Below are 25,657 nucleotides of genomic sequence, written 5' to 3'. Positions count from 1 at the left end.
TCTCGGCTCACTACAGACTCCGTCTCCTGGGTTCCCCCAATTCTTCTGCCTCAGCCTGCAGGGTAGCTGTAACTACAGGGACACGCCACCATGCCTAGCTAATTTTTTTGTATTTTTAATAGAGACAGGGCTTCACCATGTTGGCCAGACTGGTCTCGATCTCCTGACCTCAAGTGATCCGTCCGCCTCCGCCTCCCAAAGTGCTAGGATTACAGGCATGAGCCACCGCACCCAGCAGATTGTTATACTCTTAAACCCATGATCTAGAGCAGTCTCCTTCCTTTTCTTTCCACATGCCAGTAACTCATTGAAGAAATCAGGTCACTTTCCTGTACAGTGTCCCAAGTTCTAGGTTAGACAGGCTTGCTTCCTTGTGATATCTGTAACTTTTTTCTTTATTTCCCTTATTTCTTATAAATAGAAGTTAACTTTGAAGGTGCGATTAGATTAAGTTTCACCTTGGTGGTGATACTTTATAAGGGGTTTGCTGCCCTTATGTTGTATCATGTCTTGAGGCAGTGTCTGGTTAAAGTAGAATCCAGATAAAGTCCACATACTGCAACTGATTGATACCTCTTTTTTTTTTTTTTTTTTTTTTTTGAGACGGAATCTCGCTCTGTTGCCTAGGCTGGAGTCAGTGGCACGATCTCGGCTCACTGCAACCTCCGCCTCCTGGGTTCAAGTGATTGTCCTGCCTCAGCCTCCCAAGTAGCTGGGACTACAGGTGTGCACCACCACGCCCGGCTGATTTTTGTGTATTTTTAGTAGAGGCAGGGTTTCACCATATTGGCCAGGCTGGTCTTGAACTCCTAACCTCGTGATCTGCCCGCCTCGGCCTCCCAAAGTGCTGGGATTAAAGGTGTGAGCCACCATGCCCAGCCCGATACTTCTTTTAATCTGTAAACTCCCCTCCAGCTCTCTCTTTTTCCACCCCTTACCATTTATCTGTTGAAGAAATTAGATTTGTGCTGTAGTTTCCCATAGTCTGGGTTTTGCTGATTGCATCCATATGTTGTGGGGTTTTTTGTGTGTTTTGTGTTTTGTTTTGTTTTGTGGAGACAGGGTCTTACTCTGTCACCCAGGCTGGAGTGTAGTGGCACATTTTTGGCTCATTGCCACCTCCACCTCCCTTCTGAAGCAGTCCTTCCACTTTAGCCTCTCGGGTAGCTGGGACTACAGGTACACGCCACCACGTCCAGCTCATTTTTTTGTATTTTTAGTAGAGACAGGGTTTTGCTATGTTGCCAGGCTGGTCTTGAACTCCTGGGCTCAAGTGATCTGCCCACCTTGGCCTCCCATAGTACTAGTATTGCAGGCATGAGCCACAGCTCCTGGCCCACTATGTTGTACTTTCATGTGTTCCTCTGTCCTTTGTATTTCCTATAAATTGGTAGTTGGAGCCAGAGGCTTGATCAGATTGAGGTCTGATCCCCTGTTCTCTCCCTTAGGCAGAAAAACCGACTTCATAGGTAATATATGGTCTTCCATCAGGTACATGTGAAATCTATTTATGGCTTTCTGTTAACAGGTGTTGTTGCATACTTCATTAATTATTAATTCATGAAAGGGATGTAAAATTGTGATAGTTTTTAATTTTATTCCTTATTAGCTATAGAGAAACTTTGCCTTATCTAATATTTGATTAGCCAGTGGTACAGTGTTTTTTTTGTGTGTGTCTTGCTTTTTGAAAGGATAAAGGCTTGATTTTTGTTTTATTTTGTTTTCACCTTTACCAGTTTTCAAAATATGTATTGGTTTACTAACATCCTTCAATATTTACCCATTTTGTTGTTTGTTTGTACGTATTATTAAGAACTACCAGACTTAAACATATGGCTGAGTTGTAATTGAAGTTATTGTCCTTATTGATACTCAGGCTGGTTCAGGCTCGTTCCTGTATTCTTTTTGTTTTGTTTTTTTGAGACAGAGTCTCGCTCTGTCGCCCAGGCTAGAGTGTAATGGCTTGATCTCAGCTCACTGCAACCTCTACCTCCTGGGTTCAAGCAATTATCCTGCCTCAGCCTCCCGAGTAACTGGGATTACAGGCGCCACCACCACACTCGGCTAATTTTTTGTATTTTTAATGGACACAGGGTTTCGCCATGTTGGCCAGGTTGATCTTGAACTCCTGACCTCAGGTGATCCACCCACCTTGGCCTCCCAAAGTGTTGGGATTACAGGCATGAGCCACCACGCCCAGCCGGTTCCTATATTCTATTGACATGAAGTCATGGTAAGAAGTCATTGATAGATTCTTTACTGTCTAGTGTTTGAAGATATACCAGACTGGGAATCAGCCATTTACCAAGGAGCCCTACCTTTTTCATGTTTCTGCTGAAAGGTGAGGGCTCCTCAACATTACTATTTGGAATTAGTATTTTAAAACTCTAATGTGGGCTATACTGCTACTGAGGTAGTCATTGTTTGTACGATTTTCAGTGGACAGAGCTAGGAAATTTGTGTGTTTGTTTGTATGTTTATATTTAAAGATAAATTACATCATAAGTTCATAGTGATACTTTCAATTGAGATTAAAGGCCTCAAGGTAATTATTAATGTCCTACGTTTTAACATCCGTTATCTCTTTTTATCCCATGATGAAAATCTCAGTTCTCCAGGATACCAGAGGTGATAGAATGTCACATAGCTACTCATTTGCTTTATTCCTTCTTATTCACAGCTTTCTCAACCTTACAGTAGTCTCCCATCAAAAATATAATTACTGAAAACAGTTAAAAAAAATTTTTAGTACTTTTTTGTCTGCAGGTTATATTTCACTATAGACATGCTAATTGCTAGATTTTACAAATTACTTGGAATCGTCCCTTGTGGTTATGCTACCATCTGTATACAAATTTAGGTTCATTTATTTTATTCATTTAACATTAAATATCTCTCTTTAGGTAGGAAGAGTGGCATTTCTCCTAAAAAATCAAAATACATGACTCCAATGCAGCAGAAACTAAATGAGGTCTATGAAGCTGTAAAGAACTATACTGATAAGAGGGGTCGCCGCCTCAGTGCCATATTTCTGAGGCTTCCCTCTAGATCTGAGTTGCCTGACTACTATCTGACTATTAAAAAGCCCATGGACATGGAAAAAATTCGAAGTCACATGATGGCCAACAAGTACCAAGATATTGACTCTATGGTTGAGGACTTTGTCATGATGTTTAATAATGCCTGTACATACAATGAGCCGGAGTCTTTGATCTACAAAGATGCTCTTGTTCTACACAAAGTCCTGCTTGAAACACGCAGAGACCTGGAGGGAGATGAGGACTCTCATGTCCCAAATGTGACTTTGCTGATTCAAGAGCTTATCCACAATCTTTTTGTGTCAGTCATGAGTCATCAGGATGATGAGGGAAGATGCTACAGCGATTCTTTAGCAGAAATTCCTGCTGTGGATCCCAACTTTCCTAACAAACCACCCCTTACATTTGACATAATTAGGAAGAATGTTGAAAATAATCGCTACCGTCGGCTTGATTTATTTCAAGAGCATATGTTTGAAGTATTGGAACGAGCAAGAAGGATGAATCGGTATGTTTTCAAAGCCATTTTTATTTTGAGGATATGTGCTATTTAATACAAAACAGATGAAAGAATATTGCTTTGATGTACTATTTCCACTTACATACATGATTTGTAGTTGGTAGCATGCTATTCTGAATTCTAATCAGCCAGAACTTCTTAAGAGTGAGTATATTCTGTGGGGGAGAGAAGGCACACCACTAAGTCATCTAGTTTAAGGCCAGTGAGGAGGAAGACAAAATTGAAAATCTCTTGAAAAGCATAAACTTAAAATACAGCCTTTCATAGAATGTGTTTTTTAAAAAGATAAATGTTTCTAATTGGAAATAGTAACAGCGTTTTTCTTTTAAGGTTTGGCTTCAGTGCACGAATGCTTTAAATAAAATAGCTCTAAGGTGTTGTCCTGAGGTTAGACTGATAGAAATTTGATCACCATTTTAAGTACCTCAGAGGGTTTCTTTTTTTTTTTTAATCTCAGGTTTCTCACCTTAAGAGCTTGCTGAAGACATTAAATGTTCTAAAAGAAGCAATCAAATTTAGATTTACTTTAAACTTAAATTTCCTTCTAATTTTTATCTGTGATATATCGTTGCTACATGTCAATAGCAGACTTGACTATTAAATTCAGCAATTACAGTGTATTTTATATGTGCACTTAGAGACAGTTGGAAAAATATAAAAAAAAAAAAGATACAAACCTTACCTTCCTGGAGCTTACAGCCTATCATGTTTAGAACTAGACCTTCAGGCAGTGTAATGCCAGCTGGGGAATCTATGAAATCAGAATTTGCTCTGAACCTTTAAAGAAAAGCAAGTAGTAATGTTTGCTTTCAGTGTCTTTGCAAATAAAAGAAAAAAAACATAGTAACATTTGCTGCTTGTGTTAAGCACCAGCTCTTCGTAAAGCACCATGCTAAGCACTTTATGAAGGCAATCTCTAACCCTTATGATAGCCATTCTAGATAAGTGATAATCTTTTCAGTTTGCATGTGAAAGAATTAGAGGCATAGGCAGAGAAAAGTTACCCATAGTCTTACAACTAGTAAATGATGTGACTTGTCTTGCTCTCCACTGCAGAGGGCTACTCCTGAGCCAGTTACCAGGACAAGTCATGGAGCACGGCCATAGATGATAAGCCTTGAGCTCTGTGCTCTAAAAGCTTGAAGTCTGATGGATGGGCCAGGACTTACGCTTAAGGGAAAAATAATTCCACACATGAGACAACATGCCACAACCTTATATTTAGTAAAGATGGTGATGTAAGGAACTCTGTGGGCCACAGTTCTCCTTAAAAGGCATGGGATGATAGGTAGGGTTCAAATGAATAGGCCAGAGGATATTTCAAATAAGATGAATGTTATGAGCAAAGAAATGGAGTTAGGAAATGAATATGATATGTTTAAGAGACAGGGATAGAGTTGGGGCCAGTTTGGTGAGGCCCATGTGTGACACTTTTAAGAAATGGTCCTTAATAATATGGTTCTTCAGCAATTGAGTAGAAATAAAGAGAAGGATGGAGGGACATCTTGCAGTCAAAAACTCTTGGAGTTACTCATTTATTCAACACATATTTATTGAGAGGCTACTTAATGAGCATATTCTAGATGCATGTAATACACCAGTGGGCAAAACAAACTCTGCTTTCATGTAGCTTAGACTTCTTTCTGTTCTTGTTCTTGGCTTAAGTAGTCCTTAAGTCTAATACCCCTCCCTTCCTCTCCTCCCTGCTTAGCCCCATTACATCTTGGTGTTAGTTCTGTGAGTCTTTCAATGAGTATTTGTCTTCTAGATTATTAGGAACTTCGTTTATGTCTTATAGATGAAATGTTTATTTTAAGAATTAAGATTTGTATCTCTAGGAAATTAGCTCTTTTCATTCTCCCATTGTTGACATGGTTGTTTTTTGCTTTTGAGGCCTGGAAGATAGAGTCCAAGGTGTATTTTTATGAGATAGTGATGCACACAGTTTTACCCTCATGCCCAGAGCTTTGTTGAAAAACAAAAGGGATCCCTGGTAATTTAGTAGTTAGGAAAAATTTTTTAAAGAAAAACATACGGGGAGCCATTCTTAACTTTGTGAACAAAGATAGTATTGTGATTGCTTATAGTACTTATTAAGAATAAGTACTTAATAAGAATTGATGGAGATGCATCAATTTAGTGAATGATAAACTATGCCTTTATCTACTATATTATCAGTAACAAAGCTAGGCATCCCAGAAATATTAGTTCATAAATTCAATGAAGTCTACATACCGTAGATTTCCATGTTGATCTCTAAGAGTCTTCATGCTTCATCACCATTTACCCCTACCCCTACCCACCACTGCTACCCAACATCACCTAGGACTTCACAGGCTAAAATAGAAGGAATCTGAACAGTGAGACGTAACAAGAGAAAAATTCACTCAGGTGACAATAGTTTGTCCATCAACAGTATTTAGTAACAGCACAGTGCTGACTCATGCCAGTTGGCTGCTGGCTTTCCTAAACTGCTGGCAGTATTCCCAGACTAAACACTCTGATCCCCTTGCAGGTAAAAGAGACCTGTGGGAAGATGAACAAGGGAAGCATTAAGAGCCTCCTGTATTCTTAATTATTTCCTTTTGCTGAATGTCTGCCTTATATAAAAAGATTACCAATTGAGGGGAATTTAGAGTTCTTTTTCCAGCTTGCGTTTATGTTCCTGCACATTCAATGAATACCTGACCTCGTAGACTAATAAATTCTTTATAATGCTTTGAATAAACAAAAGCATATACTAGGTGTTTAGTGACTCTTGTACAGAATGTTCATTTCTAAACCATGCGATATGATGGAATTATGATCTGCCCTTTTAGTATACCATGAAAGGTATTTACAAAAATTTTACAAAAATTTTTTACTTTTAATTTACAGAAATTTTCACTTTTTATACTTAAAATTGTACACTATTATAAAATGAACTTTAATTTCAAGTGAACAGAATTCAAATATCTTCATTCAGAAAACAAACATAAAATTATGTTTTAGGGGCCAGGTACAGTGGCTCACACCTGTAATCCCAGCACTTTTGGAGCCCAAGGTGGGAGGATGGCTTGCACTCAGGAGCTTGAGACCAGTCTGGACAATATAGCAAGACCTTCCTTAGCTCTACTTAAAATAAAATTTAAAAAATCAGCCAAGCTTGGTGACATATGCCTATAGTCCCAGCTACTCGAGAGGTTGAGGTGGGAGGATTGCTTGAGCCAGGAGATTGAGACTGTAGTGAGCCATGATCGTGCCACTGTACTCCAGCCTGGGCAGCAGAGTGAGACTGTGTCTCAAGAAGAAAAAAAAAGTGTTTCAGGGGTGTCTTCCCTTGGTAAGTTTTATTTTTATTGCTTTCCTACAAGTATTAGCATTTCTATGACCCCAAAAGATATTTAAAACCTTTCCAAGGCCGGACACAGTGGCTCACACCTGTAATCCCAGCACTTTGGGAGGCCACGGCGGGCGGATCACCTGAGGTCAGGAGTTCGAGACCAGCCTGGCCAACATGGTGAAGCCTCGTTTCTACTAAAAGTACAAAAATTAGCCAGGCATGGTGGTAGGTGCCTATAATCCCAGCTACTTGAGAGGCTGAGGCAGGAGAATCGCTTGAACCTGGGAGGCAGAGGTTGCAATGAGCTGAGACCGCACCACTGTACTCCAGCCTGGGCAACAAGAACGAAACTCCATCTCAAAAAAAAAAAAAAAAGAGACTTTCCGGAAACACCCATTTAGATTATTGATCGTGTCTTTTAATTGTTTGTCAGTTCACCTTTGCTGATGGGAGCAGCATTCTGGGGACCTCTCTGAAGTTTGATGCTCTAGTGGCATGTATCAGTAGGTGGCCTACTTGGCCACACTCCTCTGACCAGAATGTCTCTGTAACTGCTAAGACCTTTGTGGTTAGTTTTGTGAATAAGTTTTTAGACTCTGGTATTCTTAGTTAATAGAATTTGATTTATGCCAGCCAGGTGTGGTGGCTCACATCTGTAATTTAAGCACTTTGGAAGGCTGAAGAGGGAGGATCACTCGAGGCCAGGAGTTCGAGACCAGCCTGGGCAACACAGGGAGCACCCTGTTGCTACAAAAAATTTTAAAATTAGCCAGCCTGAGCCCAAGAAGTTGAGGCTATGGTGAGCTGTGATCACGCCACTGCACTCCAGTCTGGGTGACAGGGCAAGACCCAGCCTCAAAATAAAATGAAATAAAAACAATTGTATGTAAACCTTCCTCAGACCACAGTGGTACTAGAAACAGTAATAAAATTTCCTCCAGTCAAAATTCTAAAGTCTGAAGTTTATTTTGCCCACTCCCCACATTTTATTTATTTATTTATTTATTTATTTATTTATTTTGGGACAGAGTCTCACTCACTCTGTTGCCCAGACTAGAGTGCAGCGGCGCGATCTTGGCTCACTGCAACCTCCACCTCCCGGGTTCAAGTGATTGTCCTGCCTCAGCCTCCTGAGTAGCTGAGATTACATGTGTGCACCATCAGTTTTTGTATTTTCAGCAGAGACTGGGTTTCACCATTTTGGCCCACCTTGGCCTCCCAAAGTGCTGGGATTGTAGGTGTGAGCCACCACAACTGGCCTGTTTATTGATTTTTTTTTTTTTAACAGACAGGGTCTTGCTCTGTTGCCCAGAGTGGGAATGCAGCGGTGCCATCATAACTTACTGCACCCTTGAACTCCTGGGCTCAAGTGACCCTCCCGCCTCAGCTTCCCGGATAGCTAGGACTGCAAGTGTGTACCCCAATGCCAGGCTACTTTTTTGTTGAGACAGCGTCTTGCTGTGTTGCTTAGGCTGGTCTCAAACTCCTGGCCTTAAGCAGTCCTCCCGCCTCGGCCTCCCAAAGCATTGGGATTATAGGCATGAGCCACCATGCCTGGCCGCTTTATTTCATAAATGAGGAAGGAGACTCAGAAAAGTTCTGGGTATGACATACATAATCTTTTTTCCATCTTTCACTATGTTGCCTTTGCTGGTTCCCCAGAATTACACAGTTATTTCTGGGAAACTAAAATGAACATTAACTCTGAGGCCTGTAACCATTATAGAATACTTTCATGGCTTTGCTTTAGGTTCCGATATTCACAGGGTCTCACTAGCCTAGGCAACCATGATGTAGGACCAAAAGGAAGAAAATAGAGCCTATTATGTAACACATCGGTCTGCTATTAAGAGAAAGTAAAAATTCAAAGAATAGATACGAGTAAGTGTTGAACATATTGTGGAGCCTTGGTACAATTCTTGGTTCTGGCAGCCACCTTCCCCTGCCAGAATCGATTGATGCGTGTGCCATATATCTCCAAGAGAAAATACATGAGGCCTTTCGTTTTTCATGAGCTGTACAAGAAGTGAGCCTTGAAGTAAAGGAAAATGGTGGGCATGGGGCTTACCATGGTAAAATGACACTTTGGATTTTGTTCTAACAAACTTCGGAAAGATACTCTTCATAGACCTGTACAGAAATACCACTATATCAATTAAAGAAGCATTTAATAGAATTTAACATATAATTGAGGTGTTTAAAAGAAACAGCTTGTATGTCAATGGATACTCTTGATGCTGTTATAGGACAGATTCAGAAATATATGAAGATGCAGTAGAACTTCAGCAGTTTTTTATTAAAATTCGTGATGAACTCTGCAAAAATGGAGAGATTCTTCTTTCACCGGCACTCAGCTATACCACAAAACATTTGCATAATGATGTGGAGAAAGAGAGAAAGGAAAAATTGCCAAAAGAAATAGAGGAAGATAAACTAAAACGAGAAGAAGAAAAAAGAGGTTGGTTTCTTTTCATTTTATTGAATATGAAAAAATGCACTGTCTTCTAGGTGTTCTCATAATTAGCTGTGGAAAAGAGTCCTGTTTGTATGAATGAAAACTCAGGGTATTGACTATATTAGAGTAGACGCAATGAGATGGAAATATTTTTATAGTTATCAATTTGGTCATCAGACCTGGGAAAGATTAAAAGTTACCTGTGACACAGCTGTTATCCTAGCATTCCAGGAAAAGAGTCAGTTAATTCACAAGTGTGGGGGCTTAATGCCTCTTTATATTATTGGTAGATCAAAACCTAAGCAGGCCAGCTAGAACTAGAAAGCATTCTCAACAGTGAGTCCATGAAGTTTTTGCCACATCATGCAGTAGCATTGCTTTCCTCATAGATACTTTGGACCAGACAAGTAGATGATATTTTGGTTGAATCACATACCTGGAGAAAAGTTTTATTTTAATTGTATCAAACTATAAAATGTTACTTTGGGTCACTTGCCAGAATTTAGAAATATTTTGATAACAGGACCTTATGATTACAAATTGGATCATTTCTGTTAAAGTTCAAGTTCACATAGATTCCTAGAATGTGTGACTCTAAGTTATGTTAATCTTTGGCATCAAATCTCCTCCGTAGATTTTTTTCCCTTAGGCAAGAAAACAAAATAGATTGATTTGAAGCAAATTCTTATAAGCGATGGCAAACCCCAAAAAGAAGGGAAAGAGACTTGGTTGGTGAGAATAGTAATTTTGCCAGCATAGAACTAACTGCAAAACCAACAGCTTTGTCACCAAAGGAGATATATGATATACTCATTCAGGAAGATAGTGAATATATATGTGTGGGGTTTAGGGGAGAGGGGAATCTATGACTTTGCCAGCTAAAAGTGGTTGATGCAGAAATGCATGGAGTAAAGCTGCAACTTTGATGGCCCAAGGTGACGATCCAAGTTAAAGAATATTCTGAAAATTAGACATCTATAAAAGGACTGAGATAAGCTCTCCACACATTCCCAGCCAGCTGGAAAACCTACACATGCTGTGGGGGAAGATGCAAAAGAACCTGGTGAAGAGCAGAATCCAAAGGATACTTGAAAATTGGCTGCAACTTTGAGTGCATCCCCCAACCTATACACAGATCTGTCAGCACATGGTACATCCTTACGGGCTTGAGGTAGTTAAGTACAAACTTCACCTAAGTCATTGGCTATAGAAAGAGAGGAGCAACCCCTAGTGTCAGGTTTCCTTGCAGACCTATAGTGGGAGCTCCAGAGGAGAGAAGAGAAAGGGAGAGAAAAAAGATTTGAAGACATAATGCTGAAAACCTCTCAAATTGATGAAAAACAGCTCCAAGAATTTCAAGTAAGATAATCACAAAGAGAGCCCCATTTAGATACATCATCATCAAACCGATGAAAATCTTAAAAGCAGCAACTGATTGATCACGTACATGTAATTATCTGCACATTCCATCCAGGGGCCTGGGGATTGTCCAGCCCAATTGACAATTAGTGATACCTGAGCACTTTTCCCAGCATGTGGGGTCAGGGCCACTCAATCTGTCACTACCACGACAACTGGCACCCATCTTCATGTGTTACCTGTCGGTCCGGGTACTAGCTCACCTATCATAGCCATTGCCAGCACTGGTGCAGAACACTTGGGTCCCAGAGAGTTGGCCCAGCACTGCTACTGCTTTCACCCTTGCCACATCCACTGCCCAAGGGCTCGGGAACCCACCCACCTGCTCGATCCACTGCTGCCATTCCTGGCACTCCAGCAAGCCAGCTGGAGTCCCAGGAATTGGCCTGCCTGGACCTGCTAACACCAGTGCCAGTATACACCACTCTGGGGCCCAAAGCATGGCCCCCTTGACAGCCCAGTCCCCAGCAGTACTTTATGCACCTCAAGCCAGGCACCCCCACCTCCTCCCCACCCCCCACATTACTTAGGAACTGGGCTCCACAGGAGCCGGTGAGTGGCAGGCAAGCAAACATTACCCCCTGAGCTCCGCTTCCTGTTAGATCAGTGGTGGCATTAGATTCTCATAGGAGCATGAACCCTATTGTGGACTGTGTATGTGAGGGATCTAGGTTGTGCACTGCTTATGAAACTCTTAATGCCTGATGATCTGAGATGGAACAGTTTCATCCTGAAACCATCCCACCCAACCCTCATCTCTTACCCACACAAACCCCATCCCTGTCTGTGGAAAAATTATCTTCCACGAAACTGGTCCCTGGTGCCAAAAACGTTGGGGGCTGCCGCCCTAAGCCACTGAGGAAGTCATGGATACCACTGATACTGTTTACAGTAGAAGGAATCATACAGAGATTACACTACTGTACAAACCCAGATTCAAAACCAAAGTATCCTGCCCAACGAACACCACAGATACATCTTCAGGGAGAAGTCCTCTTCTACGAAAGTAAATTCAGAACACTGGAAGAAGTGACTGTTGTACTAGACACACATATAATATCAATGTAAGTAAGGACACAGGAATCAAGAAAAAGCAAGGAAATAATTACACCTCCAAAAGAACCCAGTAATTCTCTAGCAATAGATTTCAGTCGATAAGTAATTTAGCGGCTGGGCACGGTGGCTCATGACTGTAATCCCAGCACTTTGGGAGACCAAGGCCAGCAGATCATGAGGTCAGGAGTTCAAGACCAGCCTGGCCAACATGGTGAAACCCTGTCTCTACTAAAAATACAAAAATTAGCCAGGCGTGGTGGCGCGTGCCTGTAATCCCAACTACTCGGAAGGCTGAGGCAGAAGAATACCTTTAACCCAGGAGGTGAAGGTTGTAGTGAGCTAAGATCGCGCCATTGCACTCCAGCCTGGGACAGAGCAAGACTCCGTCTCAAAAACAAAGTAATTTATCAGATTCCAGGAAAATAATTCAAAGTTTGATACAAGATAATTCTTAGAAACATTACAAAGAAATCAGAAAAACAATTCAGGATATGAATGAGAACTTTATCAAATAGACATCATGAAAAAGAACTAAAAAATTCTGGAACTGAAGAATTTATTGAATGAAATACAAAAGATATTTGAAAACTTTAAGAACAGACTATATCAAGCAGAAAAAATAATTTCAGGAATTGATGACAGGTCTTTTGAAATAGTAATAACTCAGTCAAAGAAAAATAAAAAAGAATGAGCAAAGCTTGGTAACATAAGGGACACCATAAAGTGACCAGATTCTCAAATTTTCAGTATTCCTGAAGGTGAAGAGGAAATTTTAAAAGGTTGAAAAACCTATTTAGTGAAATAATGGATGAAAACTTTCCAAGTGTATCAAGAAATTTAGACATCCAGTTACAGAGGAGTCAAAGATCCCCAAATAGATAAAAAGAGAGAACTTAAAATGTTCCCAACACATAGAAAGGATGGTTACCCCAAATACCCTGACTTGATCATTACACATTCTATAAATGCAACGAAGTGTCACATGTGCCCCATAAATATTTATATTATATATCAATGAAAAACAAAAATTGTGATTGTAATTAATATCACTGAAATGCACACTTTACATTGGTTTAAAAGGCAGATTTTGTTATAGATTTTTTATCACAATTTTAAAATGTATTTAAAAATAATACATCCATGAAATGTTAATGTTTTTATAAAAAATATTTTCATATGCAAGTGAGATTGACAGTAAAAAAAAATTTTTTTTTTTTTTGAGATGGAGTCTCACTCTGTTGCCCAGGCTGGAGTGCAGTGGCGTGATCTCAGTTCACTGCAAGCTCCACCTCCCGGGTTCACACCATTCTCTTGCCTCAGCCTCCCAAGTAGTTGGGATTACAGGCGCGCCCATCACCACGCTTGGTTAATTTTTTTCTTTTTTTTTTTTTTTGTATTTTTAGTAGAGACGGGGTGTCACTGTGTTAGCCAGGATGGTCTCGATCTCCTGACCTCATGATCCGCCCGCCTCGGCTGTCCAAAGTGCTGGGATTACAGGCATGAGCCACCACGCCTGGCCAACAGTAAAAATTTTTTTAAAATTTGATTTGCATTTCCCTGAAGTTTATAGTTATGTTGAGCATTTTATCATATGCCTATTGACCATCTATATGTTTATAGTTAGATAGGAAGGATAAGTTACTAGTGTTCAATAGTACTATAGACTGACTATAATTAACAATTCATTTTATATTTTCAAATAGCTGGAAGAATGGATTTTGAGTCTTCTCAACATAAAGAAGTGATAAATCCTTGAGAGTATTAATATGCTAATTACCCTGATTTGATTGTTATACGTTGTATCCATGTTATCGAAATATCACACTGTACTCCATAAATATGTGCAATTTTTTTTGTGTGTGATGGGCTCTCATTCTGTCACCCAGGCTAGAGTGCAGTGGCACGATCATGGCTCACTACACCCTCAACCTCCTGAGCTCAAGCGAGTCTCTTGCCTCAGTCTCCTGAGTAGTTGAGACTAGAGGCATGTGCCACACCTGCCTAATTTTTTTTTTTTTTTTTTTTTTTTTGAGATATCTGGCACTGTTGCTGAGGCTGGAGTGCAGTGGTGTGATCTCAGCTCACTGCAGCCTCTGCCTCCCAGGTTCCAGCGATTCTCCTGCCTCAGCCTCCTGAGTAGCTGGGATTACAGGCGTGCGCCACCACACCCAGCTGATTTTTGTATTTTTAGTAGAGACGGGGCTTCACCATGTTGGCCAGGCTGGTCTCTTAACTCCTGACATCAGGTCATCTGCCTGCTTCCGCCTCCCAAAGTGCTAGGATTACAGGCGTGAGCCACTGCACCTGGCCTAATTTTTTAAATTACTTGTAGAGATGAGATCTTGCTGTGTTGCCCAGGCTGGTTTCAAACTCCTGGGCTCAAGGGATCCCCCCTCCTGAGATTCCCAAAGTGCTGGGATTGCAGACACCAGCCACATGATTATCATATGTCAATGAAAAATAACAAAAGCCCAAAAAGTGGTATATTCATCCAATGGGATATTATTCCACCATAAAAAGGAATGACATCCTTATTCATGCTATGTAAATGAACATTGAAAACCTTATGATAAGTGAAGTAAGCCAAACTGAAAAGGACAGATATTGTATGATTATACTTTTTTGAAGTATATAGAATTGGCAAATTCATAGGGACAGAAAGTGGAATAGAGGTTGCTAGGGGCCAGGTTGCAGAGTGGAGAAATGGATAATTATTGTTTAATGATTAAAGTTTCTGTTTGGGATAATGAAAAAGTTTTGGAAATAGTTTGTGGTTATGGTTGCACAACACTAAGTTATTGCCACTGAATGGTACACTTAAAAGTGGTCAGAATGATAACTGTTTTGTATTATATGTTTTACTACAATTATTAAAAAACTAATAATGTAATATACCAAAAACCATTGAACTTTAAATAGGTGAATTATGTGGTGTGTGAATCATATATGAAGTTGTTTTCCATTCAGAGAAATATTAGAATACAAAGTTGAAGAAGTCTCCCAGAAGTAGAACAACAACAGAAATAAAGGAAGAAAAAGATAATTGGCAGGGTGCAGTGGCTCACGCCTGTAATCCCAGCACTTTGGAAGGCTAAAGTGGGTAGATCACCTGAGGTCAGGAGTTCGAGACCAGCCTGACCAACATGGTGAAACCCTGTCTCGACTAAAAATACAAAAATTAGCCGGGTGTGGTGGTACATGCCTATAGTCCCAGCTACTCGGGAGGCTGAGGCAAGAGAATTGCTTGAACCTGGGAGGCAGAGGTTGCAGTGAGCCGAGATTGTGCTACTGCACTCCAGCCTGGGCGACACAGTGAGACTCTCCCGAGTAGCTGGAACTACAGGCATGTGCCACCACACGAGGCTAAGATGGGAGGATCGCTGGATCACTTGAGCCCAGGAGTTCAGGGTTGTAGTGAGCTGTGATGGTGCCAGTACCCTGAAACCTGAGTGAACCCTGTCTGTAAAAAAACAAAAAAAAATTCTAGTCTCTCTGTCCCTTTGAGTAAACTGATAGTGTTACTGCTGGTATAAAATTCTCAAGAACCTTATAGATCTGCTGTGTATTACACAGGGATTCACTTGATTAATCAATTGCTAGATAACAGTTTTCACCAAAATTGGCAGAACTTTTAAAAATTACATATCTAATACCAAGAAATAGGAGAATTAGGAGACAGAGCAAGATGGCCGAATAGAAGCCTCCACCAATTGTCCTCCCCACAGGAACACCAAATTTAACAACTATCTACACACAGAAAGTGCACCTTCATAAGAACCAAAAATCAGGTAAACAATCACAGTACCTAGTTTTAACTTCATATCTCTGAAAGAGGGTAGAAAACACAGTCTTGAATTGCTGGCACCACCCTTCTCCCATACCCCAGCATCAGCTGTGTGACACAGAGAATCTTTGTGCTTGCGGGAGTTAGAGCACAGTGATTGAGGGATTTGCATTGGAACTCAGCCGATGCCCACAGAGGAAACATTCAGGCCAGCCCTCATCAGAGGGGAATTGTCCAGCCCAGTGGACTGGACAATTGTCAGAACTTGGGTTCCAGCAAGCCTTGCCACTGTGTGCTAAAGGGCTCTGGGGTCCTAAATAAACTTGAAGGGAAGTGTAGGCCACAAGGACTACAACTATTAGGCAAGTCCTAGTGCTGTGCTGGGCTCAGAGCCAGTGGACTTAGGGGGCACATGACATGTGAGACACCAGCAGGGTAACCAGGGGAGTACTTGCGCCACCCCTCCCCAACCCTGGGCAGCTCCGAAAAAGTCATCTTCCTCCACTTGAGGAGAGGAGAGGGAAGAGTAAAGAGGTCTTTGCCTTGCAGCTTAGATACCAGCTCAGCCACAGTAGGATAAGGCACTGGGCAGTCCTGAGGCACCCATTCCAGGCCCTAGCTCCCATGCAGCATTTCTAGACATGCCCCTGAGCCAGAAGGGAACACGCTGCCTTGAAGAGAGGGACCCAGTCTTGGTAGAATTCATCACCTGCTGACTAAAGAGCCCTTGGGCCCTGAATAATCAGCAACAGTAGCCAGGTAGTAGGCCTGTAGGATACATTTCTTTTTTTTTTTTTTTTTTTTTTTTTTTTTTTTTTTTTTTTTTTTGAGACGGAGTCTCACTCTGTCGCCAGGCTGGAGTGCAGTGGCACAATCTCGACTCACTGCAACCTCCGCCTCCTGGGTTCAAGCAATTCTCCTGCCTCAGCCCCCCGAGTAGCTGGGACTACAGGCGCGCACCACCAAACCCAGCTAATTTTTATATTTTTAGTAGAGACGGGGTTTCACCATGTTGGCCAGGATGGTCTTGATCTCTTGACCTCGTGATCCACCCGCCTCGGCCTCCCAAAGTGCTGGGATTACAGGCGTGAGCCACCGCGCCCAGCCACAATCCTACAATTTATATGGAACCATAAAAGACTCAGAATAGCTAAAGTTATTTTGAGCCAAAAGAAAACTGGAGGAATCACGTTACCCGACTTCAATTTATATTATAGAGCTATATAGTATCTGAAACAGCATGGTGCTGGCATAAAAACAGACAAATATACCAATGGAAAAGAGTAGAGAACCCAGAAACAAATCCATACGTCTACAGTGAACTCATTTTTGACAACAGTGCCAAGAATATACATTGGGGAAAGGACAGTCTCTTCAATAAACGGTGCTGGGAAAACTGGATATCAGTATACAGAATAATGAAATTAGCCCCGTCTCTTGCCATGTACAAAAATCAAAATGGATTAAAGACTTAAATCTAATACCTGAAACTATGAAACTACTGGAATAAAACTGGACTAGGCAAAAATTTCTTGAGTAATTCCCCACAGGCACAGGCAACCAAAGCAAAAGTAGATAAATGGGATTACATCAAGTTAAAAAGCCTCTGCACAGCAGAGGAAACAAAGTGAGGGGACAACCCACAGAGTGGGAAAAAACTATCTGCAAACTAACCATCTCACAATGGATTAGTTACCAGAATGTATGAGGAACTCAACTCCTTAAGAGAAAATCTAATAATCCAATTAAAAAGTGGGCGAAAGACCTGAATATACATTTCCCAAAAGGAGACATACAAATGGCAGACAGGTATATGAAAAGGTGCTCAACATCACTGATCATCAGAACAAACAATGAGATATCATATCACTCCAGTTAAAATGGCTTTTATCCAAAAGCCAGGGCCTGATACTAGTACCCCAGAGTTGGGGCACACAGTCCAGGAGTCCTGAGCTGAGCCTTGGCCCCCTAAAATCCTCTAGAAACTAAGCCCATCAACTGAACCCATCTTATACCACAATCAAACACCCAAGGTCATCAAATAGGATAAAAGAATGAAAAAAAAAATAGCCAAAGGACAGCAACTTTAAAGATTGAAGGAACTTTAGCCCACAAAGATGAGAAAGAACCAGCACAAGAACTCTGACAATTCAGAAGCCAGAGTGCCTTCTTTCCTCCAACATTGCAATTCAGGAAACTCAGAGAATCCCCACAAAATACTTCACAAGATCATCTCCAAGACACACAATCACTAGATTCTCCAAGGTCAAAATGAAAGAAAAAAATGACAGGTCACCTTCAAAGGGAAGCCCAGAAGACTGACTGTGCACCTGTCAGCACAAACGCTGCAAGCCAAGAAGAGATTGGGGGCCTATATTCAACATTCTTAAGGAAAAGAAATTCCAACCAGTAATTTCTGTCCGGCCAAACCAAGCTTCATAAGCAAAGGAGAAATAGAGTCCTTTTTCCTCAAGCAGATGCTGAGGGAATTTGTTACCACCAGACCTGCCTTACAGTAGCTCCCAAAAGAAGCACTAAATATGAAAAGGAAAGACTGTTACCAGACACTACAAAAACACACTGAAGTATATAGACCAATGACACAACACAAACAAGATTGCTTCCAGCTAACAACACAATGACAAGATCAGATCCATACATATCAATACTGACCTTGAATGTAAATGGGCTAAATACTCCAATTAAAAGAAACAAGAGTGGCAAGCTGGATAAATAAGCAAGGTCTAATGGGATGCTGTCTTCAAGAGACCCATCTCTCATCCCATGAGACCCATAATGACACCCATAAGCTCAAAATAAAGACATGGAGAAAAATCTACCAAGCAAATGGAAAACAGAAAAAAGCAAGGGTTGTAATCTCATTTCAGACAAAACAGACTTTAAACCAACAAAGACCAAAAAAGACAAAGAAGGGCACTACATAATGGTAAAGGGTTCATTTCAACAAGAAGACTTATCCTAAATAATATATGCACACAATACAGGAGCACCCAGACTCATAAAGCAAGTTCTTAGAGACCTTCAGAGAGGCTTACACTCCCACACAATAAAAAAAGAAAAAGGCCTGGGTATAGTGGCTCATGCCTGTAATCCCAACACTGTGGGAGGCCAAGACAGGAGGATTGCTTGAGCCTAGGCCTTCAAGAGCAGCCTGGGTAACACAGCAGGACCTCACCTCATCTCTTAAAACTCCCACACAATACGGGGAGACTTTAATACCCAACTGACGGTACTAGACAGACCATCAGAGCAGAAAATTAACAATGATATTCCGGACCTGAACACAACACTGGGCCAAATGTACCTGATAGACATCTAGAGAACTCTCCACCCAAAGATCAACAGAATATGCATTCTTCTCATTACCACATGGGACATACTCTAATATCAACCACACAATTGGACATAAAACAATCCTCAGAAAATGCAAAAGAAGGAAAATTATACCAACCACTCTCTTAGACCACAGCACAATAAAAATAGAAATCAAGACAAAATCACTCAAAACCATACAATTATATGGAAATTAACCAACCTACTCCTGGATGACTTTTGGGTAAATAATGAAATTAAGGTAGATATCAAGAAGTTCTTTGAAACGAACAAAAACAAAGACACAACATACCAGAATCTCTGGGACACAGCTAAGGCAGTGTTAAGAGGGAAATTTATCACACTAAACACCCACATCAAAAAGATAGGTCAATGGCCAGGCACGGTGGCTCATGCCTATAATCCAAGCATTTTGGGAGGCCAAGGAGAGTGGATTGCTTCAGGCTAGCAGTTTGAGACCACCCTAGCCAACATGGCAAAACCTCTTCTCTACTAAAAATGCAAAATTTAGCTGGGTATGGCAGTGTGTGCCTGTAGTCCCAGCTATTCGGAAGGCTGAGGCACAAGGAGGTGGAGGTGGCAGTGAGCCAAGATTGTGCCACTGCACTGCAGCCTGGGTGACAGAGCAAGACTCTTGTTTAAAAAAAAAAAGAAAGATCTCAAATTAACAACCTAACTTCATAGGAGAAAGAACTAGAAAAGCAAGAGCAAACCATTCCCAAAGCTAGCAGAAAAAAAGAAATAATCAGAGCTGAAAACTGAAGGAGACTGAGACAGGAAAAACCATTCAAAAGATTAACAAATCTAGGAGTTGGTTTTTTGAAAAAGTTGGTAAGATGGACCGCTAGCTAGAATAATGAAGAAGAGAAAAAATCCAAGTAAACACAATTAGAAACAACAAAGCGGGTGTTGCCACTGACCCCTCAGAAATACAAATAACTAGCAGATACTACTATGAACACCTCTATGCACACAAACTAGAAAATCTAGAAGAAATGGATAAATTCCTGAACACATACACCCTCGCAAGACTGAAACCAGGAGGAACTTGAATCCCTGAACAGACCAATAACAAGCTCTGAGATTGAATTAGTAATGTATAGCCTAGCAACCAAGAAAGGCCCAGGACCAGGTGAATTCACAGCCAAATTCTACCAGATGTACAAAGAAGAGCTGGTACCATTTCTACTGAAACTGTTCCAAATAACTGAGGAGAAAGGACTCCTCCCCAACTCATTCTTTGAGGCCAGCATCATCCTGATACCAAAACCTGGCAGAGATAACAGAAAAAACTAGGCCAGTATCCTTGATGTTTATTAATGCAGAAATCCTTAAGAAAATAACTAGCAAACCAAATCCAGCAGTATATCAAATAGCTAATCCACCATGGTCAAGTAGGCTTTATCCCTGGGATGCAAGGTTGGTTCAGCATACGCAAATCAATAAATGTGATTCATCACATAAAAAAGAACTAAAGACAGCCAGGTGTGGTGGCTCATGCCTGTAATCCCAGCACTTTGGTAGGCCAAGGTGGGTGGATCACCTGAGGTCAGGAGTTCGAGACCAGCCTGACCAACATGGTGAAACCCTGTCTCTAGAAACAATACAAAAATTAGCCAGGTGTGGTGGCACGCACCTGTAGTCCTAGCTATTCGAGAGGCCGAGGCAGGAGAATCACTTGAACCCAGGAGGCAGACTGCAGTGAGCCAAGATCGCACCACTGCACTCCAGCCTGGGCGACAGAGCGAGAATCCATCTCAAGTCTTAAAAAAAAAAAAAAAAAAAAAACCTGGTGCAGTGGCTCACACCTGTAATCCCAGTACCTTGGGAGGCTGAGGCGGGTGGATCACAAGGTCAGGAGTTCAAGACCAGCCTGGCCAAGATGGTGAAACCCCATCTCTACTAAAAATACAAAAATTAGCCGGGCATGGTCGTGGGCACCTGTAATCCCAGCTACTTGGGAGGCTGAGGCAGGAGAATTGCTTGAACCTGGGAGGCAGAGGTTGCAGTGAGCCGAGATGGCGCCACTGCATTCCAGCCTGGGCATCAGAGCATCAGAGCAAGACTATGTCAAAAAAAAAAAAAAAAAAAAAGGCCGGGCGCAGTGGCTGACGCCTGTAATCCCAACAGCTTGGGAGGCCGGGGCGGGTGGATCACGAGGTGAGAAGTTCAAGACCAGCCTGGCCAAGATGGTGAAACCCCATCTCTACTGAAAATACAAAAATTAGCCGGGCATGGTGGTGGGCATCTGTAATCTCAGCTACTCAGGAGGCTGAAGCTGGAGAATTGCTTGAACTTGGGAGGCGGGGGTTGCAGTGAGCCGAGATCATGCCACTGCACTCCAGCCTGGGAGACAAGAGCAAGACTCCGTCTCAAAAAAAAAAAAAAAAAAAAAAAAACAAAGACAAAAACTACATTATCTCAATAGATGTAGAAAAGGCTTTTTGACATATTAAAAACTCTAGATAAACTAGGTATTAAAGAAACATACTTCTAAATAATAAGAGCCATCTATTACAAAGCCACCCAACGTCATGCTGAAATAACCAAAAGCTGGAAACATTCCCTTTGAAAACTGACACAAGACAAGAATGCTGTCTCCCACCACTCCTATTCAACATAGTACTGGAAGTCCTGGCCAGGGCAGTCAGGTAAGAGAGAGAAATAAAGGGTATTCAAATAGGAAGAGGGAAGTCAAACTACGTCTCTTTGCAGATGACTTAATTCTATATCTAATAAACCCATAGTCTCAGCCCAAAAGCTCCTTCAGCTGATAAACTTCAGCAAAGTGTCAGGATACACAATCAGTATACAAAAATCACTATCATTCTTATACACCAATAGCAGCCAAGCCAAGAGCTAGATCAGGAACGCATTGTCATTCACAATTGCCACAAAAAGAATAAAATACCTGGAAATACAGCTAACCAGGGAGGTGAAAGATCCCTACAATGAGAATTACTCACTGCCCAAAGAAATCAGAGATGACAGATGCAAATGGGAAAACATTCCATGCTCATGGATAGGAAGAATCAATGTTATTAAAATGGCCATACTGCCCAAAGCAATTTACAGATTCAGTCCTAATCGTATGAAATTACCAATGACATTCTTCACAGAACTAGAAAAACTATTTTAAAATTTAGATAGCCAGGCACGGTGGCTCACGCTTGTAATCCCAGCACTTTAGGAGGCTAAGGCGGGCAGATCACTTGAGGTCAGGAGTTCAAGACTCTGGGTGACAGAGTGAGACTGTCTAAAAAAAGAAAAAGAAAATTTAATGTTTCAGGAGGAATAAAATAAATAACATTTAAAATGCTTATTATTAGCTCTTCCATTTATGGGAAATTAACCTAAGGAAGTAATCAAAGATTTGGGCAAAGCTTTATCCTCAATAAAAACCCTGTGATATTTGCAAACGATAGCTTGTACTGGAACTTTTTTTTTTTTCTTTTGAAATGGAGTATTGCTCTGTCACCCAGGCTGGAGTGCAGTGGCCTGATCTTGGCTCACTACAACATTCACCTCCCAGGTTTAAGCGATTCTTCTGTCTCAACCTCCCAAGTAGCTGGGACTACAGGCACCTGCCATCATGCTGGCTAATTTTTTAATATTTTTAGTAGAGATGGGGTTTCACCATGTTGGCCAGGCTGGCCTTGAACTCTTCTTGACCTCAAGTGATCCGCCCGCCTCGGCCTCCCAAAGTGCTGGGATTACAGGCGTGAGCTGCCGCTACCGGCCTGTACTGGAACTATTAATAAGTTTTACTTAACAAAAATAAAAGTCATCTGGGCGCGGTGGCTCACGCCTATAATCCCAGCATTTTGGGAGGCTGAGGCAGGCGGATCTCAGGTCGAGAGATCGAGACCAGCCTGACCAAGATGGAGAAACCCCATCTCTACTAAAAATACAAAATTAGCCAGGCGTGGTGGTGCATGCCTGTAATCCCAGCTACTCGGGAGGCTGAGGCAGGAGAATTGCTTGAACCTGGGAGGCAGAGGTTGTGGTGAGCTGAGATTGTGCCATTGCACTCCAGCCTGGGCAACAAGAGCGAAACTCCGTCTCGAAAAAAATAAATAAATAAAAATAAAAGTCATTTTGAAAAGCATTTCCTCTCAGGGCTAGTGTTCTTGATATATTAAGTATATATACTAGATATAGTTTATAGTATATTGTAGAATATATGTATTCTATATTTCTTCAATTCTAAGACTCCATTAAATGTGTCATATTCGTGTAATAACTTAGTGAAATGAAACACATTAAGAAGCATTAAGGTGGGGATGAAGTATATCAGAGATTATCTCTAGAATTACTTGATTCGAAACGACATACGTACTTCTTTGTGCCTTTCGATATTATCCAAAATGTCCATATGATCATATATTAGTAAGGTGATGTTTTTATTCTCTACATCCTTTGTGTAGTTATATATTCATTTAAATTAATGATGGTTGTAATTCAAAGATAGTTTTGAGTAGAGGCTATTAGGAATGTGAAGATCATACTATTGCTGATTCCTGCCTTCGCATGTTGCAAATGGAATTAAATGTATTAAATGTATTATTAGTATGTGTTGTTTGAACCCTACATCTGACTTCAGCATCCCTTTGGTGAGTACCTTTTTCCTTTATTTATTTATTTTTTTACCTAAGAAGCTGAAAAGAGTGAAGATTCCTCTGGTGCTGCAGGCCTCTCAGGCTTACATCGCACATACAGCCAGGACTGTAGCTTTAAAAACAGCATGTACCATGTTGGAGATTACGTCTATGTGGAACCTGCAGAGGCCAACCTACAACCACATATCGTCTGTATTGAAAGACTGTGGGAGGATTCAGCTGGTAAGTTTGTTTTAAATCAAAGGACAGTTTAGTGAGATATGACTGTTTGACTTCTCCTTGCTCCTCAGGGAAGAAAATTTTAACTCAGACATCTTAAGCCTTTCCATAATAATTGTTCAATATGTCAATAAATGTAAGTAAGCACCCATCATATGAAAAACATAGGACCTATTGGGCAAGTGTCACAGTTGAGTCAAAAGAAATACAGCTTCTAGGTCGGGCGCGGTGGCTCACGCCTGTAATCCCAGCACTTTGGGAGGCTGAGGCGGGCAGATCACAAGGTCAGGAAATCGAGACCATCCTGGCTAACACAGTGAAACCCTGTCTCTACTAAAAAGATACAAAAAATGAGCTGGGCCTGGTGGCGGGCGCCTGTAGTCCCAGCTACTCGGGAGGCTGAGGCAGGAGAATGGCGTGAACCCAGGAGGCGGAGCTTGCAAGGGAGCCGAGATCACGCCACTGCACTCCAGCCTGGGTGACAGAGTGAGACTGTCTCAAAAAAAAAAAAAAAAAAAAAGAAAGAAATACAGCTTCTTAAAGTCTGGTTGAGATTCATTCATTCATTTGATACTTATTAAAAACATACTTTGAGCCAAACTTTATGTAGAGTGACATAGATTCAGAAGAACAAAAAGCTCATATTTTCCCTTGCAAAACTACTCCAGTAAGGAAGATTATGATCAAAAAAGAAATTATTATAGAATGACATGCCTTGGCTTAGCATTTGTTTTCAAAAAGGCTTTCTAGAACAGTTGCCTTTAAATTGAGACATGGAGTATGCATAGAAATTAATGAAGCCAGAAGTTGGTGGAAATGTGATCCAGGCAATCCAGTTCTTTGAGCTGCCTATCACATGAAATACTTTTGTATTCCTTCACCAGAGAGCTAAATATGTCCTTCAGTAGCATATCTGTCCCCTTACTAAAGTGCACAACTCTAGGTATGTACTAACCAGAGCAGAGTGGAGCAGGTCTCATCACCTGTCCTCCTCATTATGTACTTTATATGGCTTTTAATATGAAGAAGAGCCTGGGCAACATGGCAAGACCCCTTCTCTAGAAAAAATAAGAAAATCAGCAGGGTGTGATTGCACTTGCTGTGGTCCCAGCAACTTGAGAGGCTGAGGCAGGAGGATCACTTGAGCCCAAGAGGTTGAGGGTGTATATATATATATATGAGGGGGGAAAAGTAGCATGCATTTTTTAGGCCTCATTACACTTTATTATTTTTGAGTATTATTTCTCCTGTGGATAATTATATTAAACTGTAGCTGTAAAAATAAGCACAGTGCTAGGTTCATGTCATGGCAGAGTGGATTGATGGTGTATTTCCTAATTTTGCAAAGAATGTGTGATTTCTGAGCTGGACACAGTGACTTATACTTGTAGTCCCAGCTACTCAGGAGGCTGAGGTTGGAGGACCACTTTGGCCCAGGAATTCAAGTCCAGCCTGGGCAACGTAGTGAGACCCAGTCTCTTTAAAAAAAAAAAAAAAAAAAAGTGATTTCTGTTAACAATGATTCTCTTTCTCTTCCCCTTCCCCCACCCCCCATTTTTGAGGTGAAAAATGGTTGTATGGCTGTTGGTTTTACCGACCAAATGAAACATTCCACCTGGCTACACGAAAATTTCTAGAAAAAGAAGTTTTTAAGAGTGACTATTACAACAAAGTTCCAGTTAGTAAAATTCTAGGCAAGTGTGTGGTCATGTTTGTCAAGGTAAGAAACTCATTAAATCCCAAAGTCTCACTCATTCCCTAGGAATAAAATTTTAAAACACAGAAAATAATCGATGTTTACAAAATTAGGAACTCTGTTTTAAGCTATTTTTTAAGCCGTGTCTATATAGCTATATGAAAAGATTTGGGAA

General features: G+C 41.1%; 1 protein-coding gene across 160 annotated transcripts in view; it reads left to right on the top strand.

Annotated features, from left to right (window-relative positions):
* PBRM1 (polybromo 1) overlaps positions 1 to 25,657 on the top strand; it is a 140,547-nt gene that overhangs the window by 73,055 nt on the left and 41,835 nt on the right. For 101 of the 160 annotated variants that reach the window (NR_175959.1, NR_174502.1, NM_001405555.1 and 98 more), the window contains 4 exons: positions 2,904 to 3,546; positions 9,127 to 9,338; positions 23,604 to 23,789; positions 25,349 to 25,506. Coding sequence is in view for 158 of the 160 variants with exons in the window: in NM_001405555.1 (NP_001392484.1) it covers positions 2,904 to 3,546; positions 9,127 to 9,338; positions 23,604 to 23,789; positions 25,349 to 25,506 (1,199 nt within the window). In the remaining 2 variants the exon portion in view is untranslated. Of the gene's footprint in view, positions 1 to 2,267; positions 2,342 to 2,903; positions 3,547 to 9,126; positions 9,339 to 23,603; positions 23,790 to 25,348; positions 25,507 to 25,657 lie in introns of all 160 variants that reach the window. The other 59 variants (NM_001405585.1, NM_001394874.1, NM_001405573.1 and 56 more) reach the window with 5 other exon arrangements.

Source organism: Homo sapiens, chromosome 3, assembly GCF_000001405.40.
Source record: "Homo sapiens chromosome 3, GRCh38.p14 Primary Assembly".
In the NCBI taxonomy this organism is placed as follows: Eukaryota; Metazoa; Chordata; class Mammalia; order Primates; family Hominidae; genus Homo; species Homo sapiens.
This window is presented reverse-complemented; position numbering and strand designations above follow the sequence as displayed.